The 22,947-nt window shown below is 40.2% G+C and overlaps 1 protein-coding gene across 11 annotated transcripts in view; it reads right to left on the reverse strand.

Annotated features, from left to right (window-relative positions):
- The window catches only part of COL28A1 (collagen type XXVIII alpha 1 chain), a 205,677-nt gene that overhangs the window by 75,848 nt on the left and 106,882 nt on the right, over positions 1–22,947 (reverse strand). For 8 of the 11 annotated variants that reach the window (XR_926936.4, XM_011515360.3, XM_011515358.4 and 5 more), the window contains 5 exons: positions 22,354–22,422; positions 18,591–18,659; positions 18,432–18,500; positions 5,844–5,912; positions 3,818–3,886 (listed from right to left, as the gene is read on the reverse strand). Coding sequence is in view for 10 of the 11 variants with exons in the window: in XM_011515360.3 (XP_011513662.1) it covers positions 3,818–3,886; positions 5,844–5,912; positions 18,432–18,500; positions 18,591–18,659; positions 22,354–22,422 (345 nt within the window). In the remaining variant the exon portion in view is untranslated. Of the gene's footprint in view, positions 1–3,817; positions 3,887–5,843; positions 5,913–13,711; positions 15,879–16,770; positions 17,606–18,431; positions 18,501–18,590; positions 18,660–21,395; positions 21,500–22,353; positions 22,423–22,947 lie in introns of those variants that run through there. The other 3 variants (XM_011515364.3, XM_011515363.3, XM_011515365.3) reach the window with 3 other exon arrangements.

A 22,947-nucleotide genomic window follows, 5' to 3' on the forward strand; every position in this document is an offset into this window, starting at 1 on the left:
ATGGGGAAACTGGCATAACTCCCAATTAGAAATGAAGAATGGGGAGAAGCCATCCACATCTGTCTCCGTGCTTTTTAACCTGGGTGGTGCACCCTCTGATCACATCCCTCCTGGCCTCACAATGGCTACTTGGCATATAAAGGAATTCCTCCAGGTCCAGACCCATTCCTTCTCCCTTCTGACTTAATCTGTGGGACTTCTGATATATCTGGAGTCTATATCTGGGTTACTGCTGGAGGCTTACAGTGGGACAAGATGGCAGCATCATATAACTTCCTGGCCTGTGACATGAACCTGAAAGTCCAAGGCCATTTTAGGATCAAACAGCCACAGTCCCATATTCATTGATCCAAACAACAGACATCTGTGGTTGGGAAAAAGCCCAAGGCCCTGAAGGAGCTGGAGTTCCACTTCAGGGCAGAGCCAGTTGGGCCAGCAGAGGAATGGCAGGAGGCTGCCATGGTACTAAATAAAGAGGGGCGAGCCCATCGTGCTCTCAGGGTTTTCCAGGACCAGAGCTACCACAGCAGCAGCCCTGGGTGGTCCCAGAGCCCCAGGAAAGGCCGGGGAAAGAAGTTCCCAGAAGATCATACTCTTCCACATAGAGAATCAAGAGAATAGGAAGGGGCATGGAAAGAGAAGCCCTTCTACTCCCACATTCCTTCCAGTCATGTCCATTCATTCTACAAATGGTAGCCAGAGTGAGTCTCTTCCAAACTGATCAGATCATTCTTCTCTGACTTCCAGTTGCTCCTAGGATTAAGGCCAAACTCATTACTTGGCCTATAGGACCTCACAAGGGCCCTGCCTACTGCTGTAATCTAAATTCACTCCATTGTGCCATCCTCTATACTCTCCAGAACTCAAAGTTTAATTATTTTATAGCCTGTAAATTCCATGAGGACTAAGTTCACATATTTTTACTCACTACTTTATACTAGCACTTGGCTTATTTGCCTGACATAGGTGATGCTCAATCCGTATTGGTTGGTCAGCTGAATGAATGAATGACTGGCTGAAGAGCCAATATTCTAGCAACTAAGTTAGGTTGAAGCAAATCACTTGTGATTGCAGCTACAACCCTTATTTCTCCCATAAGTGGAAGGGGATAGAGAGACAGAGTACAGTTCAGGCTTCTGTGTTAAAGGTTAACAGCAACAAAGCTTTCCGTCAAAGGCTACTAAGCACACACACCTGCAAGCAGATTTCACTGATTCAAATGCTCTTTGGAAAGGGGTAGGAAATAAGTCAACAAATGAATGTAAGAAATGAAATTTTACTGTTCCTATATCCTTGAAATGACTCAGAAGAATGCCACCAATTTGGTTTTTCAGTTCCCTCCCTTTTGCAGTGATGGTATTTCGTCGGTGCAAAAGTAATTGCGGTTTTTGCCACAGTCAGGAAAATGAGATGGAAGTCCTGAGGGACGAACCTCTGCCCTGCTACCAACTGGATGCCAGGCAATCCAATATGTCTAAAGAGGTTTTTCTGGTTGTTTTGTTTGTTTTTTGAGACAGAGTCTAACTCTGTTGCCCAGGCAGGAGTGCAGTGGTGCGATCTTGGCTCACTGCAACCTCCGCCTCCAGGATTCAAGCGATTCTCCTGCCTCAGCCTCCTGAGTAGCTGAGATTACAGGTACGCACCACCATGCCTGGCTAATTTTTGTATTTTTAGTAGAGATGGGGTTTCACCATATTGGTGAGGCTGGTCTCAAACTCCTGACCTCATGATCCACCCACCTCGGCCTCCCAAAGTGCTGGGTAGTTTTCTTTTTTTGGGAAGACAAGGTCTCACTCTGTCATCCAGGCTGGAGTACAGTGGCACTATCTCAGCTTACTGCAGCCTCTGCCTCCTGGGTTCAAGCGATTCTCATGCCTCAGCCTCCTGAGTAGTTGGGACTACAGACATGCACCACCACACCAAGCTAAGTTTTGTATTTTTAGTAGACACGGGGTTTCACCATGTTGCCCAGGCTGGTCTTGAACTCCTGACCTCAAGTGATCTGCCTGCCTTGGCCTCCCACAGTGCTGAGATTACAGGCATGAGCCACTGCACCCGGCCTAGAGAAGTTTTATGAGTGAGCCTTAGTCAGGGCTCACTGCTAAGCAGCATCAGGCTACAGCCCTAAGTGAAGGAAAAGCTTATCTCATTTCTGATAAGATGGGATACGTGGCAGTTTTGATTTTGGTGCTTTCCTGTGATGGGAGGCTTCAGGACCTGGTTTCACCCAGGATGGAGTTTAGACACAGCATAACCCTGAGGGCATAAGGAGAGGCAGGAAGCCAGATAAGTTATAGTCGGTAAGGATTAATTAAACACAACCCAGGTGAGAATGAGGAAGTAGTTCCCAGATAACAAAGTGGAGAAAACCGGCCCCAGGCCTAAAGACGTGGCAGCAATAACCTAACAGCATGTGTGAACTGAGCTCATGTTGGTGACAGGACCTGTGGTTTGGCATAGGTTTATTCCCTAAGCAAACTCATGCAAAACTGGGTATACAGCACTACCACCTTCTAACCACAGAATTTAAAGATTAAGTATGAGATTGGTGTTGTTTATGAGAAAGCAGAGTGTTGCTGTATTTTCTTTCCAGGGCTTGTACAATATGGGCAACATGCCTATTTGGCCTTTGCTTAGATACTCAGCCCGAGAGATGAACAACAGTTATTTAGAAGACCTGCTGTAGAAGCTCTAGACATTGTGTGATAAAACTGGAGATTTAACACACATTCTATGAGTTCTGCTCTTGACTAAGCTTACTCTCTCTACACAGAAGTAGGCAGTTTAATTTCAACACAGGATTTTCACATTATCTTAAGCTCCTACTGTCTCCTACTGACTAAGAAGTTCTGCTATTTGAAAAGGAGTTTATTTTGAATGTTCCCACAGTTTTAGAATCAATCTCAATCATCCAGAGGTGAATAACTCAGTTTCAAAGCTTAAGCATGGTAAAAATATATATATATATAAATGTATGTAAAATAAAAAACCAGCTTATGACGGGGGCAGCAGTGGAATCGGAAAAAAAGAGAGTGAACCGATAAGAACAACATCATCAACATATTAGAAGCAGAAGAGGGAATTTTTTAGAATTACATAGTAATGTTTAGATGCCAAATTTGTCTACTGAGACATGAGAGACCCTGAGAGTCCCAGCATGCTGGACAAGCTTGTTGCTGCTGACGCAGAAGCAAAGTGACATGCAGATGGCTATGAATTCCAGTAACACAGACTCAGGGCCTAGAATAGAGGTTCTCACCTTGGCTGCTCAGGAGAATCCCTTGGAGAGCTTTGAAAACCACAGCACTCACACTCTACTCCCAGAGATTCGGATTTCGTTCCTCTGGGAAAGGGCATTAGTACTATCCAAAAGCTCCCTAGGTGATTCCACTGTGAGCTAAGATTGGGAAGCCCTGGGCTACCATGGAGGATACAGGTGAGGAAGGTAAGGGAAGGAGGGAGGGGGAGGGAAGGAGGGAGGGGGGAGGGAGGGAGGGAGGGGGGGGGGAGAGAGAGAGAGAGAGAGAGCAACTGAGTATAAATTCTCCATTCAATTCACAAAGAGGGGAAAGCAACAAACCATAGAACAGTTCACTTTTGCACCAAGCAATTTATATAATGTTTAGCATTTGCTGAAGTATTGTACTCATACCATTTTTACACTTCCAGATGATGTCTCTAAACACTGGATGCCATTTAACTGCGAGGCTCACAATAAATCTATTTCATAATAGCCATTTTTGCGTTATCTACAACCTCTTCTCCCAATCACTCTGGTGAAATCAGAGGTGACTCCAGCACAACCCTATTCACTTACTTTAATTCCCTGTGATCCATAGCCAGGGGGGCCAGGAGGGCCAGGCAAGCCTTTCTGCCCAGTATCACCCTGTTAGAAGATGGGGAGAATTTGAAGACAAAATGTAAGAAGATCGAAGAAGAAACAACGTTAAGTATTACTACTCTCAGCTGCATTCTTACTTCAGTCTGACCAGGACTTTCATGCTGCCTATAAGCTACTTCCTATTTTACTTAGAGTGCTTCCCCAATATTTTTAAACCACAGAATTCTATGCAAACAAAACCTTAAATATAATCCAAATAAAAATTAAGCAGTAAGCAGAGCCGCTGGGCCTAAGCAGAAATGGAGGCCCAGGGCCTCATCTGCTTGGGCCCCCTTCACTGCCCTACCACCAAGCTCAAGAACACCAGGGCTGCCCTGCACCACATATGAAAACCACTGACATGTGGCTCCACATAGCCTTAAGATGTTGCTCCATTTCAATATAAGGTGTGATTTCACTGGGGTTGCACTTAAAGATCCAGTGGATATCAATGTCCAAATTTTTAGGAAAATGTGTAGATGAAGCTATAAGCAAGTGTAGCATTTCCCAGTATCTGTTCATAAACTGAGCCCATGTTTCTTTGGAAACACTTCGTGGTGGAATAAGATTGGAAAATAGCATGCGCTTTCCCTTGGAGATCTCCAGTGCACACTAATATAGTAGACTAATGGCTCTAACAAGTCCCACAGTAAAGAAATTAGTGTAACGTTGCTTATCCCAGAAGTTCCTAAATTAACACTGGATGGAAGAAGCCTTCAGAAGTGCTGGGTTAATATAAGTTATTGTATAAGTCAGTCTTTTACTTTCCAGTATTAAAAAAGCTTGACTTTTTCTGATTATAAGAGGAATACCTGCCCATTGCAAAAAAAAAAATTAAACAGAAATAAAGATGACATGAACAAGAAAAATAGACCCATCTTCCCATCACCCAGTGATAATGACTACTAACATCTTGGGGGGATCTTCATCCATTTAAAGTGATCTAGAAGGTTCAAAAATAGCATACCGCCAAAATTGAGTTGAGGGACAAAACAGAGATAAACTGAGAATCTTGGTAATTCTGGGATGCTCAGTAAAATCTTTGACTCATACAGCCTTTTCCCTCTCCTCTCTGAGAATGGGCTCTAATTCACTTCTGTGCATTTTCGGCATGAATATACCAATTCAAAATTTGAATTTGTGGTGGGTGGTTCATTGACATCTATTTTCCCTATTGAACATGCTTGCTACTTCTTTACCCTACTTTCGAACAAATCAAAGAAAGTTGTTGAGCAACTGAATGAACAATTAAAACTAGGTTTCTCAAACTCAGCACTATTAACATTTTGAGCTGAGTCACTCTTTCTGATGGGAGGCTGTCCTGGGCATTGTAGAATGGTTGGCAGCATCTCTGGACTTGATCTACTACAACCAAAAAATGTCCCTAGACATTGCCACATGTTCTCTGAAGCCAGGGAAGGGAAACAAAGTCTCCCTCTTTGAGAAACACTGGATTAAAAGAATAAAAGGATGAATAACCACCAAACTGAAGGAGACATAGAAAGGAGGGAAACTGGGCCAAAAGAAGTTGCTCTCATCTTCTCCAGGGACAATCAGTCTAGACCCTTGTACTGACACCCTGCCAGAGTAGCTGTGGCACAAAGGGCACAATGACACATTAGCAGGTGACCTGTTAAAAAAGCCACCTGAGGCACCTCTGCCAAAGTAAAGATGTGCTTCTTGATGACGGCACAGCCTCTAAGAAACCCAGAAATGTTCTGAGCACTTTGCAGTTAAAAAGAGGCTGACTTGCTCATTTCTTTTGGGGGAAGTGAATGGCTTTATAAACTCGAATGTTCTATTTTACTGAACGTTCACCTGATATGAAAAATAAGACGTTTCATCAGTCACCAAGAAAAAAATAAGTCAACACCAAGACGAACACTTATTATGAAGTTACTGTTCACTTGTTTGTCACTGATGATATCTGACCCTCACACAAAGCACTGAGCTGAGGACTCACCTTTGGCCCTTGGGTTCCTACGCCCCGAGGCCCAGAAGGACCTGGAGGGCCTCTGACCCCAGGCTCTCCCTGAAAAGACACAACAAATAACAAGTTACTAATTTTTTAAAGACTTTATGTTTTTTTCAATATATATATTTTAATATCAAAAACTTCTTGAATGTGACTAAGGTATTAATTGAACCCTCTTCTCCTAGATCACTTTTCTATTACCACCTAGGCAATCTTCAAACCAACAGATCCAGGTCCATTTCAAATTAATCAAGTCAATTAACTTCTTGGCAACATTAACTTTTTTCAGAACCCTCTTCTCTAGAATTTGGAAAAGTAATTACGAGTATTGTGAATAGAGGATGGAAGAAGAGACAAGAATAAAAAACAACCATTAAGAAATATAATCATATCCTGAACTAGTTGCTTTTATCATTGTATGCAACAAAGATTATGCTATTTGAGTTATGATGTTTCTGCCACCTCATTAACTGGAACTGCAGGGTAAACTCTAAAAAGGATTTTCAGCTTCACTAAGGCATGACAGCTTCATAGCTGGCAACTATTACCAGAAAATTGGTGGTACCTGATGAGGGTAGGTGACGCCCTGTGGCAAGACCTACTAGAGATGCTAATGATGGGAAGAAGGAGAGAAATAAAAATTGCTTCATTAGCCACCTTCTGTATTCCCAAGACTATGCCATGTATGTTCATATATGTTATTTGATATAATTTAGTACTCACAATAATCTTGCATTATAATGATGTCTAGTTTATGTAACTTCTCTGAACCTCGGTAAATTCATCACATATGTAGAAAATAATATCTACATTTCAAAGGGCTCAGAATTAAGTGAGACAAAGCTTGTAAGTGTTTCTATCATGATTTTTACCACAGAATAGGCACTTGGTATATGTCAGCTCCACTCACCTATTTTATTAAAGTGGAAGCTAAGGTTTGCCCAAGTCTGCACAGCTATTAAGGTGCAGGGCTAGAAGGATGTAGAAAAACAGGAACCCTCATAATTGCTGGTGCAGCCACTTTGGAAAACAGTTTGGTGGTTTAAGGTTCAACATAAATTTGCCAAATGATACAGTCATTTCACTCCTACATATACACCCAAAGAAAATAAAAATGTATGTCCACTTAGAGACTTGCATATGAATGCCCTTAGCAGCATTATACATAATCATCCAAAACTAGAAACAGCCTAAATGCCCATCAACTGGTGAATGGACAAAGTGCTGTAAATTCAGCAATAAAAAGGAATAAACTATGAATAAATGCCATAACATGAATGAACCTCAAAAACATTATTACTGATGAAAGAAGCCAGATATATGATTACATTTATAAATAATACCCAGAAAAGGTAACTCTATAGAAACAAAAAGTAGATTAGTCACTGCCAGGGGCCAGGGACAGCAACATGGATTAACTATAAATGGTCGTGAGGGATTTTACTGGGGGGATAAAAATGACCTAAAACTGATTTATGGTGATGGCTGTATAGCTTAGTAGCAAATTTACTTAAAGAACCATTGAATTTTATACTTAAAAAGGATGAATTCTAGAATGTGTAAAATATGCCTGAATAAAGTAATAAAGAAAAAAAAGAACCAGGGTCAGGCTTTGAACTACCACCCAAGACCTTTAGCCTTAGGTCCTGTTTTGCCCATATCCTGTTACCAGCTAAACAGCTTCCAGCTTCCAACACTGCAAAAACCATAAATTACAAGAAATGTTGAAGTTGTTCATTCAGAAAAACAGTCCATCTTTTAATTTACTTTCTACTTATAAACTCTAAAATACTTCCAGATAACCCAAGCCCTTAAAAGGACGGGGGCCACTTTAAAACTGTACTTTATTACTGACTTAATTCTTTTAATATCTACTTTCATAATTATGTATTTCTATTTTGCTTACAGACCACTTTTATTATACTGTCTCCATCTGTTCCACTTAGTACTTAGCTGCTTCTAAGGCTACGGGTGCTAATTATCTCTTTAACACCTCTCTCCTACTGACTCCCATCTTTGAGGGTCCCCAAGTTCCTGCCAGCTGAAAGGATCACTCCAACATCAAGGGCTCCAAGTAGAGAACATGAAAACCCTGTAGTACATACATTTCCATTAGCACTCCTTTCTTGAGTACCTATGAAGTACTTTCAAAGGGAGAGTGTGTAAGTTCACTGCCTGAAGTTCTCCAACTACACCTGACTGATTCATACACTTTGCTACATCTTAAAAGGACATGTCTTTTCTCTTCCAAACATTTTGACACTCTCCAACAAAACAAGTCAAGCATAGTTAAGTAAATCTTACCCAAAATCATCGAAAGTTTCATCAAAAATAATACTCCTCTTTGCTCAGTCACCCCAACCCACCCCAGATTTGGTGGCTTCCTCTCATTCATTTCCGTTCACCTGTGCCCTTCCAAGATGAGGTGAAAAGGTTAGGAAGGATATGGCCAGGTTGGGCGCAGTGGCTTACACCTGTAATCCCACCACTCTGGCAGGCCGAGGTGGGTGGATCACATGGTCAGGAGTTTGAGATCAGCCTGGCCAATGTAATGAAACAGTGTCTCTACTAAAAATACAAAAATTAGCTAGGCGTGGCGGCAGGCACCTGTACTCCCAGCTACTGGGGAGGCTGAGGCGGGAGAATCACTTGAACCCGGGAGGCAGAGGTTGCAGTGAACCAAAACCACGCCATTGCACGCCAGCCTGGGTGACAGAGTGAGACTCTGTCTCCAAAAAAGAAAAAAAAAAAGGAAGGATATAGCCAGACACCATGTGCCTCCTGCTGTGATACATTAGAGAATACACCACCCTACCTATCAATATTCTGGCCTAGAAAAAACTGAACCTGGATGTAAACACGTCTCTTGACCTACCAGCTTTGAGTGTCCCCAAGTTCCTGCCGGCTATTACTACCAGCTTACAGTAATAGACGGAAGAGGGAGAAACACGTTACACAACACCATGAGGATATCATCAGCAAATCCGCAAGTACAAATAACACATACACTAACTGCGAGCTAAAAACAAGGGAGGAGTCTACTTTGATTAAGAGAGATTTAAGAGCTATTTCAATCAAATGCAATGTGTGGGCATGATTTGGATCCCAATCCAAACAAACCAATTGCAGCAAATGGGTAAGACAAGCTTGGAAATGTGAATGCTGGATATTTGCTATATTAAGGAATTGTTCATTTGTTTTAGGTTTGATAATAGTATTGTAGTCAAGTTTTTAAAAAGAGTTCTTACATTTGAATGACAAATGCTAAAGCTTTATATGGATGATGTCTGAGGATTGCTTCAGGATAATGTGGTGAGGGGAGGAGTGAAGAATATAGCTAAAACAAGATCAACTATGTGTTGATAATTGTTAAGGAAGTGTGATATGTAAATGAGAGTTCATTTCACTAGTCTTTCCACTTTTGTGCATGCTTAATTTTCATAATTGTTTTAATACAATTTTTAAAAATCCATAAACAATATCCAGCAAAAGTCTCTCCAGTGAACCTGAGATAGTGTTGCTGTAATAGACCCCCTTAATAATAATTCATGATTTTAAAGATATTAAAACTGGGCAAAGGGGAGGAGCACACAGGTAGATTCAACATCATTAGAATTTACATCTGTCGTGTGTATTCTTGGGATGTACCAAATGTTACATAATTTTTTTTTTAACATAGGGATACGGAGAGAAGGCAAGATTTTTTTTTAACAAAGTAGTATGTTTTAAGAAAAAATTTGACACTGTAGTATTTAATTCATGATTTTTTTTGTGTGAGAATGTTAGCTAAAACCTCCCCTCAACTAGTATTAATTACACTAATACCCACACATGGGAAAGCAAGCGGGAAAAGCAGTTAAAATAGGTCCATAGTTTACCTCAGGCCAGCCTTGTCAATGCTCAGTGTTGCTATTCATTCTCTCCTTCACAGTCTCCCTTATTCACGTCCCCCTAACCCTCAACCTTTGGGAGTATCTGAAGGCCAACTGCAGTAGGACAGCTGACCCTGTAGATACCTTACTGTTCTCTCTGTCCCGCAGCCTCAGCCAATGAATTTAAGATGTGTTCCATGTCATCTGTGGTCCTTCAGTGTTCACCTAAAACAAACTGTCCATCCTTATCCATATAATTGTTGACATATAGCTATGTTTCACATATCTAAATAATCTTTTGTATCTTTCAAACTACGGGAAAATAATGACTTATAGCAATGCTTTTGTGAATCTAATAGACTTTAAATCAAGTCTTAACGTTCTGCAGATATTAGAATTGGTCTGTAACACGGCATGAGAGTTGTTCCTCAGTGTATATGTACCATACTTTGATAGATGGGAACATTAGGCATTTAATGATCTGAGAATCCACAGAAGTAGTGTCTCTCCACTATGGTGGGGTCTTTGAAAATGATCTTTTGTGGTTCCATGGGCCGTGTGTCCATGTTAGGCCACCACACCTGGTAAATGTGAGCAAGAGAATTGCGGACAGGTCTTGCTTGGCCATTTGACGGCACTGGTTTTGTCATAAGGCAGCACCGTAGGTACCTAAGAAGTGCGTTGACCTGTGATATTTTCAGATACACAGTTTATTGTCAGTGGATACAGCAATATTCACAAATAAAGGAATTACAACAGGTTGTCGCATAGCTGGACATAGCTTCCCACGCAACAGCTGAGGGTTGTTGGAGCCTGCAGAGGGAGCCCTTGTATTAGGAGATAATGAACAGACGTGCGAGCAAATTCTAGAGTCGCCATTGGTAACAACATCTATCACTTTCCTAAGATGACAGTCTTAGCCTTACCCCTAACCCCTGCACCCACTCTCTCAAAAGAAGAATAACGGACTGTTTAGATGGCATACCACTTCCTCTTGGCCCGCCAAAGGGATTCTAGATGGGAGATACTACTTTCATTTTCACAGGAAACGGCCAAATTCAGGACTGTCTGCAGTATTTGTGCATATGAACTTAACAAATGATTCAGTGAAGACCACCTAGACCATAACCTTGCAGAGTGGATAATTTTAACTCCTTTAAAAATACACATCATCTTATGATGGTTCTAAAACTCACACATTGAAGCTTTCCCTTTTTAAATGAAAGAAGAAAGAGGAGAGCAAACACATTCATTCATTTTCTCATTAGTAAATCTTCACTTTGGTTAATATTAAAACTATTATAATAAATAATAAATAAAAATAATACTTATTAAGTTTATTATGCAGCAGGAAGTTTTCATTCATTATCTTACCTGATCTTATCAACATCAACTTATTCCATTTTACAGATAAGGAAACTGAGCTACAGCAGGATACATGACTTGCCAAAAACCAGGCAGTCTGAAGCAATTCAAACCCAGGTATGACTCCAGAACCCATCTCCCATTTTGATGTGGACTGGGACTAGATGCAAGACGCTAACTTTTCCATAGACTTTCTTCCAGCTGTCATTTAATGCAAAGACCTCGGCTGTTTGGCTGTGAAACTGTAAAAGTCCTTTCCCTACATCGCCAGTCACACCCTCTCAAGGAGAAGAACATCCTGGATTATAAGATTCATCCTGTATTACACAGGTCCCACACGACCTGCACAAGAATCCAGCCCTCTAAGTCTTCCCGTCCCATTTTCCCTCCGTTGCTAATCCTTGGTTTTGCGGTTTACTCCAATGTGTTAATTGACTTCATTCCAGATCTCCTACCTATACCAGTTCTTAATCTCTCTTCTTATCCATCCTACAATGTGTGTGATTTGGCAGCGTGATGCATAAAATGGCTACTACCACTAATTATATTTGAATTTGTTAGGATTCATAAAGATGTTTTACATACATTAGTCTATTAATTTATCATAATAAACCTGTGAAGTAGGCATTATTATCCCAAATCACAGATAAGAATGCTAAGCCTCAGGGAGACTAAACGACTTGCTGAGGTCACACAGCTAATAAGTGGCAAGGTTTCAAGGTGGAGCAGTGACAAGGAAACAACCCATTATACCTTATGAGTTTTCTAAAAATATCAATATAATATTTGAGGAAATAATCAGCCCATTAGATTATTTTCCTCCCCCTTACTCCCCCACACACTAATGAGGCTTTAATCATACTCTCTCCCTTTGTGCCAGCTAAGTTGCTGCCACTCTTTGAGAAGAAGGTGGAAGCAAGATATACTTGTTCCAAAAGTGATTTCATGCTTTTTCTACTTTGGGGACAATAAAAGCAAATTAAATTCACTGTGAAAGAATCAGCCTCTTAAGGATGTTCCAAGGAATGGTACTCTAAAGATTCTGCTAAATGATGAAACTGAGGAATGACTGGGTTTTAAAATAAGGTAGAAGTCAAAGTGATGATAGCAGCTGCCTTATGTTTCTTTCTTTCTGGTTTTTAAATAAAATTAAGATATAACTACTCCAACTACCACAAACATAGGCAGAACTCTGGAATGAATTACATAATTCCACCTATGTCATGTGTTAGGACCTCTAGAATACCTCACTCGTGGTAGCCAGAATGTCAATGGAAGTTTTAGAGGCTTTTTTCTAAGTATATGCACATATTGGCAATGTGTATTGATTATTGAATGACCGTTGTCATATGACTCAGTCATTTCTCAATGACACCCTTTAATATGAATAGGAAGATAGTACCAACTGTCAGCATGATCATCATGGGGATGAGAAAATAATTATACAAATGCTAGAAAACAAACTTCTCAAATTGCTACATTTCCTCTCAAGTATTTTCTCACCTTTAAATTTCAAATTATTTAAAGTATTTTCAATTACTTGAATCAATTTATCTCCTAAAACTTTAATATTCACCCCAAAACAGCTGTATCTCATAGTCCCTGACAATTTTAAAACTTCTTATTTTTTCCTTTTCTCAAAATCATCTCATCAAAGATGAGCAAATGATGGCCTTTTGCCAAGAACTTCACTGGAGAGCAAGAGTCTTTCTTATTTAGCTTGGTTAGAAACCTTGAAAACATAAATATTGATACTGCCCCTTACGACAGTGAGAAGAGCAGGCTGTCTTGTACTAAAACTGAATATAATTTTCCACTGGGAGAAAGTTCCTCCAAGTCTGCATGATCAAAAATAACAATATGTTTATGGTGATGTGGGCAATGAATGTTAAGGGGATTTACCATGTGTCTCCAGGGCTGAAGGAAAAGTACGTACATACTCATAAGAAGAGAAATACAAAGCTAGGAAAACAGCAAGGAGAGATGAAAGCAATATTCAAAGTCATGAGGTGGACTACTAGAGTGCAGCTCAGATTTTAGAGATCAGGCATATAACTGCATTGGGGAGTAACCTTGAATAGTCACCTTTTCCTGGTCTTGGATATGACCCTTTCTGAAACCTCTGGGTCAAACTGCCTAGGGTCTAAACTTTGTATGGCTCTGGCTTTAATTAGTTCTGTTTTGGGCTGATTGTCCAGGCTGAAGCAATTTTGCAGTCATATTATAGGGAGGTGGCTTTCTTCAAGTCCACTTTGGAATTACATGCCCTTAACTTCATTAAGTCTGTATCCTAGGCCAGCCCTCCTTGTTGGGCACTGTTCAAAAATGGAGTTCCTTGTCCAGTCTATGTCTGCCAATGGAATTCACACATTCCTAATGCATCTCTGTGTGAATCGGTCCTCTGTTCCACCAATGCCTGTTGGTGGAGTGTACATATGTGAGCCATTGCAGAGAACAGAGGGGCAATTCAGATGCTGGGAACATTTTTAGAATAATGATACTCAGTGGAATTCCACATAGACTTGCATTTTATGGCTATGGGTCACTTTTGTCAAATAAAGCATGTATTTACAATACTCAAACATTTAAAGTTACTGAAAAATATTTAACTCTTTTGGGTTTGGGGTTTATGCTTCTCTTTAATGTTTATATAATTTAAGTTTTGACAATAGAAAAGCTAGGCTGAAAGGGGAAACAATCCAACTGCACACACAAAAGAGTGCCTAGATAGAAGACGGACAGCATAGGAGATTGAGCATCTGTGGATCAGGGTAAGTCATGCTTTCTGCTCTGATTTATTCATCCATTTAGTTTTTCATTCATTCATCCATATCCATAGCCCCTCTCATATACAAAACAAATGTAGTATCAAAAATGTTTCTATTGTAAAGAGACAAGTTGCTCAACCTTCTGGTTCTTCATTTCTTCATCTATAAAACAGGGGGACTGTTAAAAATGTCATAATATTCTGGAAATATTTAGGTAATACATAATCATGACAATGATAATAGTAATTATACCTGTAATAACAACAACAATCCAACAAGTCTTTTCTGCCAACAGACTTATGCCAACAACTTGATGGTTAAGAGGTCCTAACCCCAAATCCAGGTTAGATCTCCTCTGTGCAAAGATTAGGCTAAGTTCAACCACTCCAAGGCTTTGGAGCGGGTCATAGCTTTTTCTGTGATGATCCAGCTCCCTGAGAGGGCCTGAAAAAAGCTAAGAGACGGGCACGGTAGGCTGTACCTGCCCTTAGTGAACTCAGGAGAGCCACGTCTTATATTCCTTTTCTATGAGGCCAGAAATAAACTCTTATATCAGAGACATCAGGAAATCAGACCTTATGCTACATGTACCTTACAAAGCTTTGGGGGTGAAAACACAGGAACAGAGTTATCTGCAGCTCCTCGAAGAGAAATGAGACGTATGGCATGTTTGCCCTCAAACCACAAGAAGTGCCCTTAATATCTAAGGCTCCAGAGAAGAAAAGCAGGCTGTGATGAGTGGGGCTTGGAGCTTGGCTTCCCCATCAACGAGCCAGGAGATTGGATCCAGGAGTGAGGACACTGGATGAGCACTTCCCACTTAGCAAGAAACCAAATTATCAGTTCCTCTTCCCAGCATGTTTCAAAGGTGAGTTTAAAATCTATATCTCCTCTCTCCTTCAAAGTTGTAGTTTTTACAAGAATTTTAGAAATATCTCAGAAGGTCTTGCCGAATTTGAATTAAATTCAAGGTAATTGTATCCAGAAGGACAATAACCACTGATGTTGCAGGGAATTTTTCCACTTGGAAAAGAGCCACGGAGAACCACAAGGGTGCTAGATGTCAGCAACTGCTTTTTATATGTTTTGAAACACAGAAGCTTTGAGTTTAATGTCTGTGTCATATGCTAAACACATGTGACCTTAACTAAACAGCACCAAAACCCACCATAAATTCATCGTCAACCTTAATGGTTTCCTCATTTCAAAACACATTTGTTTTGTAAGTTAATGCCTTAAGGCCACAATTTTAAGGCGACTACACAAAGCTTAAATGAAAAACATATCAGGATCCATATGGCTCTACTACCACACACACATATATACAGTTTCACTGTCATTTTAACTCAAAAGGGGAGAAATTTTGCACACATTTGGGTCCTGTGCTTCCGCTGCCATGGACAATTTTTGGTATTTTCAGAATTTCCCGTACTTTACCAAGCAAGAAGGGCAAAGTTAACTGGAATTATCTTCCTTTCTTTGCCAGTTTCTGTCTATGAATCTCCCTCTCTCTCTCTCTCTCTCTCACATACACACACACTCTCTTTCTCTCTGTGCTCTGTGTGTGTGTGTGGGGGGGGGGATGGTGTGTGTGTATGCGTGTGTGTTTCCAGAAGTTTTCTTCAGAAAAAAAGGCCACATAGAAATTTTGAAGCCCCTGTAAAAAAGGAGAGATGATTTTTAAAGTTACTTAGAAGCTGGTATTTTCTTTTAGACTTTCCTTTATTTTCAAGTTTATGATCCAAGTTCCCTTGATTCTAAGACCAGCTCACCCTCCTAACATCTCCTTCCAGGGCTAGAGAAATTCTGAACAACACAATTTCCATGGGAAGAGACAAGAAGCAATGGAAGGAAGGAAAAGCAGGTGAGAGGGAGGCGTGCAGACAGGTAGGTCCTACCTAGTACTCTTCTCCCCCGGGCTCTGCCTGCAGCTGGAAGCAAACCATGGACTGCCGCTTCCACTCAGCCTTCCGCGTGGGCTCACTCAGACAATGGGAGTTTCACTTAAGATACATCTTCTGGCAGCATATTAGCCATTTCAAAAAAAACAATAGGCAAGATGAAGTTTTGAACCCTTTGTTTCTTACCTTTTTCCCCCTAAAATGTAGACGAAGGCAAATACAGGGGACTTTTGGAGGAAAATGGCATATGCAATCATTTAGTAAATGTTTTAGTCTGTATCTTAGATAATCTGACACAGTGAAATATTCATAAGAATTGGGTTTTTTATGTTCTTTTTTTTTGAAATGGAGTTTCGCTCTGTCGCCCAGGCTGGAGTGCAGTGGTGCGATCTCAGCTCACTGCAACCTCCGCCTCCCGGGTTCAAGCAATTCTCCTGCCTCGGCCTCCTGAGCAGCTGGGATTATAGGCGCCCACCACCACGCCCAGCTAATTTTTGTATTTTTAGTAGAGACGGGGTTTCACCATGTTAGCCAGGCTGGTCTCAAACTCCTGACCTCAGGTGATCTGCCCACCTCAGCCTCCCAAAGTGCTGGAATTACAGGCATGAGCCACCACACCTGGCTAGTTTTTTAAGTGTTCTTTATCTGTGCCTAAGTGCCTGTATTTATTATTATTGCTCAATGTAAAGCAGTAACATAATCGTATAATTTAATATAACATCATGTCTAGTTATATAAAAAATTCATAATAATCTACTCTGTGAAAATGTAAATGATCATCTGTTTCCATTGGAATACACATATTCTAGTATATATTTAACATATTTTATTTCATGTTTTATTTTACATAGAAATAAGCTTCTACTTCCCTAAATATTCAATATACAAGTTTTTACCATTGTTTCACTCACAGCGTAAGATAATGAGGTTTACCTATTGAATTTCTCTATTTTTTTTAATTTTAGGATTTTGACAGGTGCTATGCCTTAAAGAAAAAAGAATACATCAGTACCCAAATTTGGTGCAGTTTATTGATACAGTTGAGGCTTATTCAAGGATCTGATGTAGTCCTGAGTCAGACCAAGCCAGATCCTTCATCGAAGCACCTCGGGTTTGTCCTGTCTGTACAGTGTACACAGCACTTCCAGATACATCCTCATTGGACTCTCATCATTACCCCCAGAAGCAGAATGTGGCAGCTATCAAGATTCCCTTTTAAAGATGAAATTTAGTGCCATGGGTCTCCAATCTTTTATTCCACCTGGGAGAGGGCAAAGAGGCACTTCTAAATTTTGTGGCAGGGGCAAAAACCAAGGGGAGAAGTTGGCATTAAGCACGTACAACATCTTTTCTCTCTAATGACCTGGAAACATTCAAAAAAGTAAGTAGATATATTTCAAAGGAAAAATTCTCCCTTTAGGGTAATATTGATCATTTATTCATTTTCCATTCATTCAACAAGTTGTAGAGCTCCTACTGAATGGTACACCTAGTTCTGGTGACATGAAGTTAGGAGGGAACAAAGCAAGAAGCCTGCTCCAGGAAAACCTTCACTCTCATGGAATATGCAGAGAAATAAATGAGGAAGATGATCTCAGAAAGTGATACACGCTACATGGAAAACATACAGAGGGGTTGGGGTAGTAATGCTTTCTGTATGGGTGGTCGGGGAGGTGACATTTGAGCTAAGCTTTTAATAATCAGCCATCCTGGCGAGTCCCTGATGCAGGAATGAGCTGAAGTAGGGCAGGCCATTTTGGCTGAATGTCGGCAGCCAGGGAGAAATGACAGAAGCTGCAGTCGGGGCATGAAGGATCTTCAAGGCCATGGGAAGTGTTCAAAGTCTGAAAGAGAAGCCACCAGGGTGTTTCTAGGAAGGAATGGTATATGCTCTGATTTACGGTTTTAAAAGACCACTCTTCCTGCTAAGTTATAGGAGGACAGAGGTGGAACAGAGGGAAGACCAATGAAGAGGCTATTTTTACAGCCCACGTAAGAGATGACATTGTCTGCCTGGCAGAAGCAGAAAGAAAAAAAGGAGCCAGAGTTGAGATATATTTTGGCGGTAGCATTGACAGGATTTACCAAAGGACTAGGTGTGGAGGAAGGAGAAGGAAAGGAAGGAACAAAGGATGATGCTTAATCCTTCTGGCTTGAGCATGGAAGAGCCATTTGCAGGGTTATGGGGCAAAAATCAAGGATCTTATTTTGGATTATTTTAAATTAGAGATGTTTGTGAGAAGCCCAAGAGGGGATACATGGTAGGAAATTAGATACATGAGACCAGATTTTAAGGGAGAAAAGATAGGTATTTGGAAGTCATCAGTGTGTGGACAGTGGTTAAAGCCATGGGGCTGGACGAGAGTATCTAGGGAAAGAGTATGGCTAGAGGAGAGAGGAGATCTCCGACTTGTACCCTGATCTTGGTATAAGAAGAGGAAGCAGCAAAGGAATGCGAGTTGCTATCAGAGAAGGAGGACCCAAACCATAAAGTTAGTCTACATGTTCAGATTAGTTCCCCAGGAAGTCTATAGATAAGGGCAAATAACTTTATCAATTATTTCAGACACCTCTACTCTTCTAGCTGATAAAAAATTTTATTTTTACCAAAGTCACCTACCTATAGGTGCACTCTTAGAAGCTAGTACGTTGCCTACTTTAAAGTCTTACCTTTGCTCCAGTGTCTCCCACTCCACGTAAACCCATCGGCCCAGGGGGTCCTGGTAATCCACGAGGTCCCTGAGATGACACAGTAAGGGAGGGAGTGAGCATCCTTGTAGTATGCAACACTCAAAAAGGAGGGAGGGAAGAAAAAAATGTCCCACTTACAGGCACACCAGGATAGCCATCACCTTTGAGTCCTGGAGCACCCACTGGTCCCCGAGGGCCTTGGACACCCTGGGTAAATTCCAACATCAGTGATATCATGAGACTCAACTAGAAAACACCTGGTCAAACTTAAGCATAACACCAACTCAATATGCCAACGGTCGATTTCTAACCCGGGAGTTAGAAAATGACTTATTGCTAGTACTTTAATTCTTAAAATTATAAATTTTTAGTGCATCGTAAATCAAGAAGAAGTATAAAAAAGAAAATTTATTAAGCACAATGTGAGAAGAGTAGAAAAGAATACATAGCAAAATTTTGAGTGTGGGATAACTAGTTTCCTATTGTTGCGTTAAATCTATTCTCTTCATTAATGGGGCCCGAATTATACGGGGAATAAATAAACCCAGATGAAAATAAAAACACATTAATTTTTCAAAAACAAGTTATGAAGGGATAGAGTTTGTGACTCATATCTTGAGACCTAGGGAAAAGTTGTAAATATTGTTTTACAGTGATGACCTTAGGCATCAAAAACTTTTAGTAACAGCCCTTAGTCTCCTACAGAAAGAGCAGGGAGGGGTGATTATTGTCCTTTAGACAACAGAGTTTTCTAAGACTTGTAACTGTCTCACAAACAGCAATCAGAAAATTTCTGACTCAAGTAAAACGGGGGGAGAGAAAAAAATTAAGAAGGATCTTTTAGAAGATTACCTACAAGTGGCCGGGTGCGGTGGCTCACGCCTGTAATCCCAGCACTTTGGGAAGCTGAGGTGGGTGGATCACCAGGTCAGGAGTTCAAGACCAGCCTGGCCAACACGGTGAAACCCCGTCTCTACTAAAAATACAAAAATTAGCTGGGCATGGTGGCGGGTGCCTGTAATCCCAGCTACTCAGGAGGCTGAGGCAGGAGAATTGCTTGAACCTGGGAAGCTGAGGCTGCAGTGAGAAGAGATCACACTACTGTGCTCCAGCCTGGGCGACAGAGCAAGGCTCTGTCTCATTTAAAAAAAAAAAAAAAAAAAGATTACCTACAAGTCCATTACACTTTTATTTAAAACTTGTAATACTTCTTTTTACAACATATTCCACTGATCTGTTACACCGATCTGTTGTTGATGACTCTTACAACAGCCCTTGTCAATATGCAGCCCTTGTTTTGATAAAGAGCTGCTCATGTTTTAAAATATTTATGGTTTTTCTTTATATTGGGAGGAAACTCTAACAACAGGCAGACCTTTGTTTTGCAAGAATGGAGAAAGAAAGTAGCAGGACTCTTAAGAACTTTCCTCATATGCAAACAAACTCGGAGATCAAATTGCCATTATTCCAAGTGAAAATACTGCCCAAAGTCCAACTCTCAAAAACTATTCTCAACTATACTCCAATAAATGAATAATTGACTGGGAACAGGGGAAAATTTTTTATATACTCTTTAAGCAATCAGAAACTTTATTTTAAAAACCAAGAATGCAACAGCTGTTATTTCCTATTAAATCTAAAAGGCTGTTTTTATGTGGTTAACCTTCTTAAGAATGATCATCTTTAGGAAATATGTGGCCACTTATAAAAATTTAACCTACTATTCATCATCAACAAAAACTCAAGGTGATTTTTTAAAGTTGAATGAGAGAAAGGAAGCCCATGGTCTTCAGGACAGGTAAATTTGGGTGTATTCCAACTATGGGGAACTGGTCACTTCTCAGAACCAATTTTTTATGCTATTCCAGTTACATTTAAGGATGAAGCTCTAAACATCTGCATATGAAACTTGTCCCAAAATAAGTTTTCCACTTATCTCCATGTTTACACAAGGAGAGGGCCAACAACAAACTAAAGCAGTAACAGCTCCCCGGTTGAATTAAAAGGAAAAGAAAATTGGAATCAAAATTTACTTTTCAGTTTTTATTTCTACAGTCCAAACTTAGAACAAATTGTCAGCAGCTGCTCTTGTTTAACGTCTGACACCACAGCGGAGGGGAAAACCATGCAAACACTCACAGTTTACAAACATCCTTTTTATAGAGATCTTTGTCCTTGCTCCTGCAAAAATCTCAGGTAGCTTGTTACTTCTATTATTAACAGGAAATATCAAGGAGCAAGAGGAGGAGCAGGTTTTTATTTTGGACTCCTTACCATATTTTTATAGATGGAATTTTGCCACTTGGCTTTTCTGTACTGGATTCAAGGAAATGTCCTACAAAGTTATTTACTTCAAAGTGTTTCTCTCATTCAATAGAAATTAGGGTAAAAATGGAAACCTAGTATTTTGAAATCAGCTTTAGGGGGCATCTGGGAGACCCCTGAAGTATTACATAAAATGAAATTAATGTGCTAAATCTTCCGTCAGACCTTCAAAGGTGTGTATGACCCTCCCAAAACTGAAAAACTAATGAACTAGGGAAGAACAACAGAAAGAGTATCATTAGAGTCCAGGGGAGTAGCAAAATGATTGAGTGAAGAGGCAAATATCTTTAAATACCATCACCTATAATGCCTAATAATCATCAACAGAAAACAGGTGAGGCCTATAAACTCTAGCAGCACATTTAATTGGATTGTATTCCTATTGCAAACAGAAGTATATGTAGAGAGAGATGTATAAATCGGATTGTGAATACACAGCTTCAATCTATCAAAATTGTCATGCAAATATAATTGATCAAGGTCATAGCTGCAGTTTTCAAATTAGAAAATTTGCTATTGTCCCCATGAGCTGTCTATATAGCTTGTGTTTCTAAAGAGAGTGGTCTACATAGTTTGGGTTACCTTGGGATCTGTGGGAAGTAGACGAACAATTCGTCCAAGTTTGCCCAAGATTTTCCCAGTTTTAGCCCGGAAAGTCATGCGTTCCAGGAACCCCTTCAATCCCGGGCAAACTAGGGCAGCTGTCACTCTAGCAGGGAGGACTGTTAAAGCAATAAAAACAGGAGAGGCTCAAGATTCTCCCTTTACCTTTAAAAAGAACCACTCCAATTTATGTCAGTTTTTATACAACAGGTTTTGCATCATATTTTATTTAAAAAATGACTCCATGTTTTCTTCTTTTAACTTTGAAGGTCATCAGTTTAGTACTTGAACCCTTTTATCTAGATAAGACAACTTAGTATGGGAGAATATAAGCAAGTTTCAAAGCTACGTAACAACATGCTATTGATTTTAAAAGTGCTAATGATGGGGCCCTGAAGCTTGTCCTCATAAACAGAGATATGCTGGTTGACACCTAGGAATGCTATACATGCTGAATTTTGCTGTGGTGCTGGGTATAGTGTGAGGAGGAAAAATGGTGCTTCGTTGCCATGAAAAACCAGATATGATTACAGAAACCTGGTTTCTTCTTATTTGTCTTTCCCTTTGAAATAACTCAAAAGGATAAATAAAGCAGGAAATTTTTATTCAGCAAAGCTTCCAAGCACACACGCTTTTTTGGACAATGTTTTGCAGAATAGATACTTCAGCCACTAATATGTAAATGAAGAGGCCAGAGGCCATTTAATGCCTTGTATCACTGACAGTGCAAAAGAGCATTTTTCAAACAATTGTCTAATCAGCAAAAATTTAACCATAAGAGCTACTTTTCCCCACAAGTATGAAAAATAAACTATGTGATTGCTTGTTTTTTTAAAAAAAGGGAATAGCTATATTCTTACATTTTAGTTAATCAATGTAGAAACCTCACAAGTAGAAAAATCAACTTATGCATTAAATCTACCTTCATTTATTTCAGATACAGAAAAACAAAAAGAACATGAATAAAGCATACCTTTGGTCCTCGAATAGAAAGTCCAGGTTCTCCCTTAAATCCAGGTATCCCAGGTCCTCCTCTATCTCCCTGTACATTTCAAATAACATTTCACAGGCTACAGTTGTGCGAGAAATCACAAGCACACATAGCAAAAAAAACCATTGGCCACTCTGTAAAGAGCTTAATCTGTCCATCTCAGACCTTGAGATAGTATATTCTTCAAACATATTTGAGGGGACTTTCAAATCCTAAGTAAATAACACCTGTCAGTAAAGACTATTACTGCTGTTGGGAGAAAGTCCATTGAAATAATATGTGGCAATTCAGACTCAAATATTTCGACTTTAAGAATGGCTGAGAATGCTCTTAAAATTGAGTGAAGGCCAGGCACAGTGGCTCACACCTATAATTCCAACACCTTGGGAGGCCAAGGCAGGCGGGTCACTTGAATCCAGGAGTTCAAGATGAGCCCGGCCAACATGGCAAAACCCCGTCTCTACTAAAAGCACAAAAATTAGCCAGGCATGGTGGCACATCTGTAATCCCAGCTATTTGGGTGGCTGAGGCAAGAGAATCACTTGACCCCAAGAAGTGGAGGTTGCAGTGAGACAA

Source organism: Homo sapiens, chromosome 7 (genome assembly GCF_000001405.40).
Source record: "Homo sapiens chromosome 7, GRCh38.p14 Primary Assembly".
In the NCBI taxonomy this organism is placed as follows: domain Eukaryota; kingdom Metazoa; phylum Chordata; class Mammalia; order Primates; family Hominidae; genus Homo; species Homo sapiens.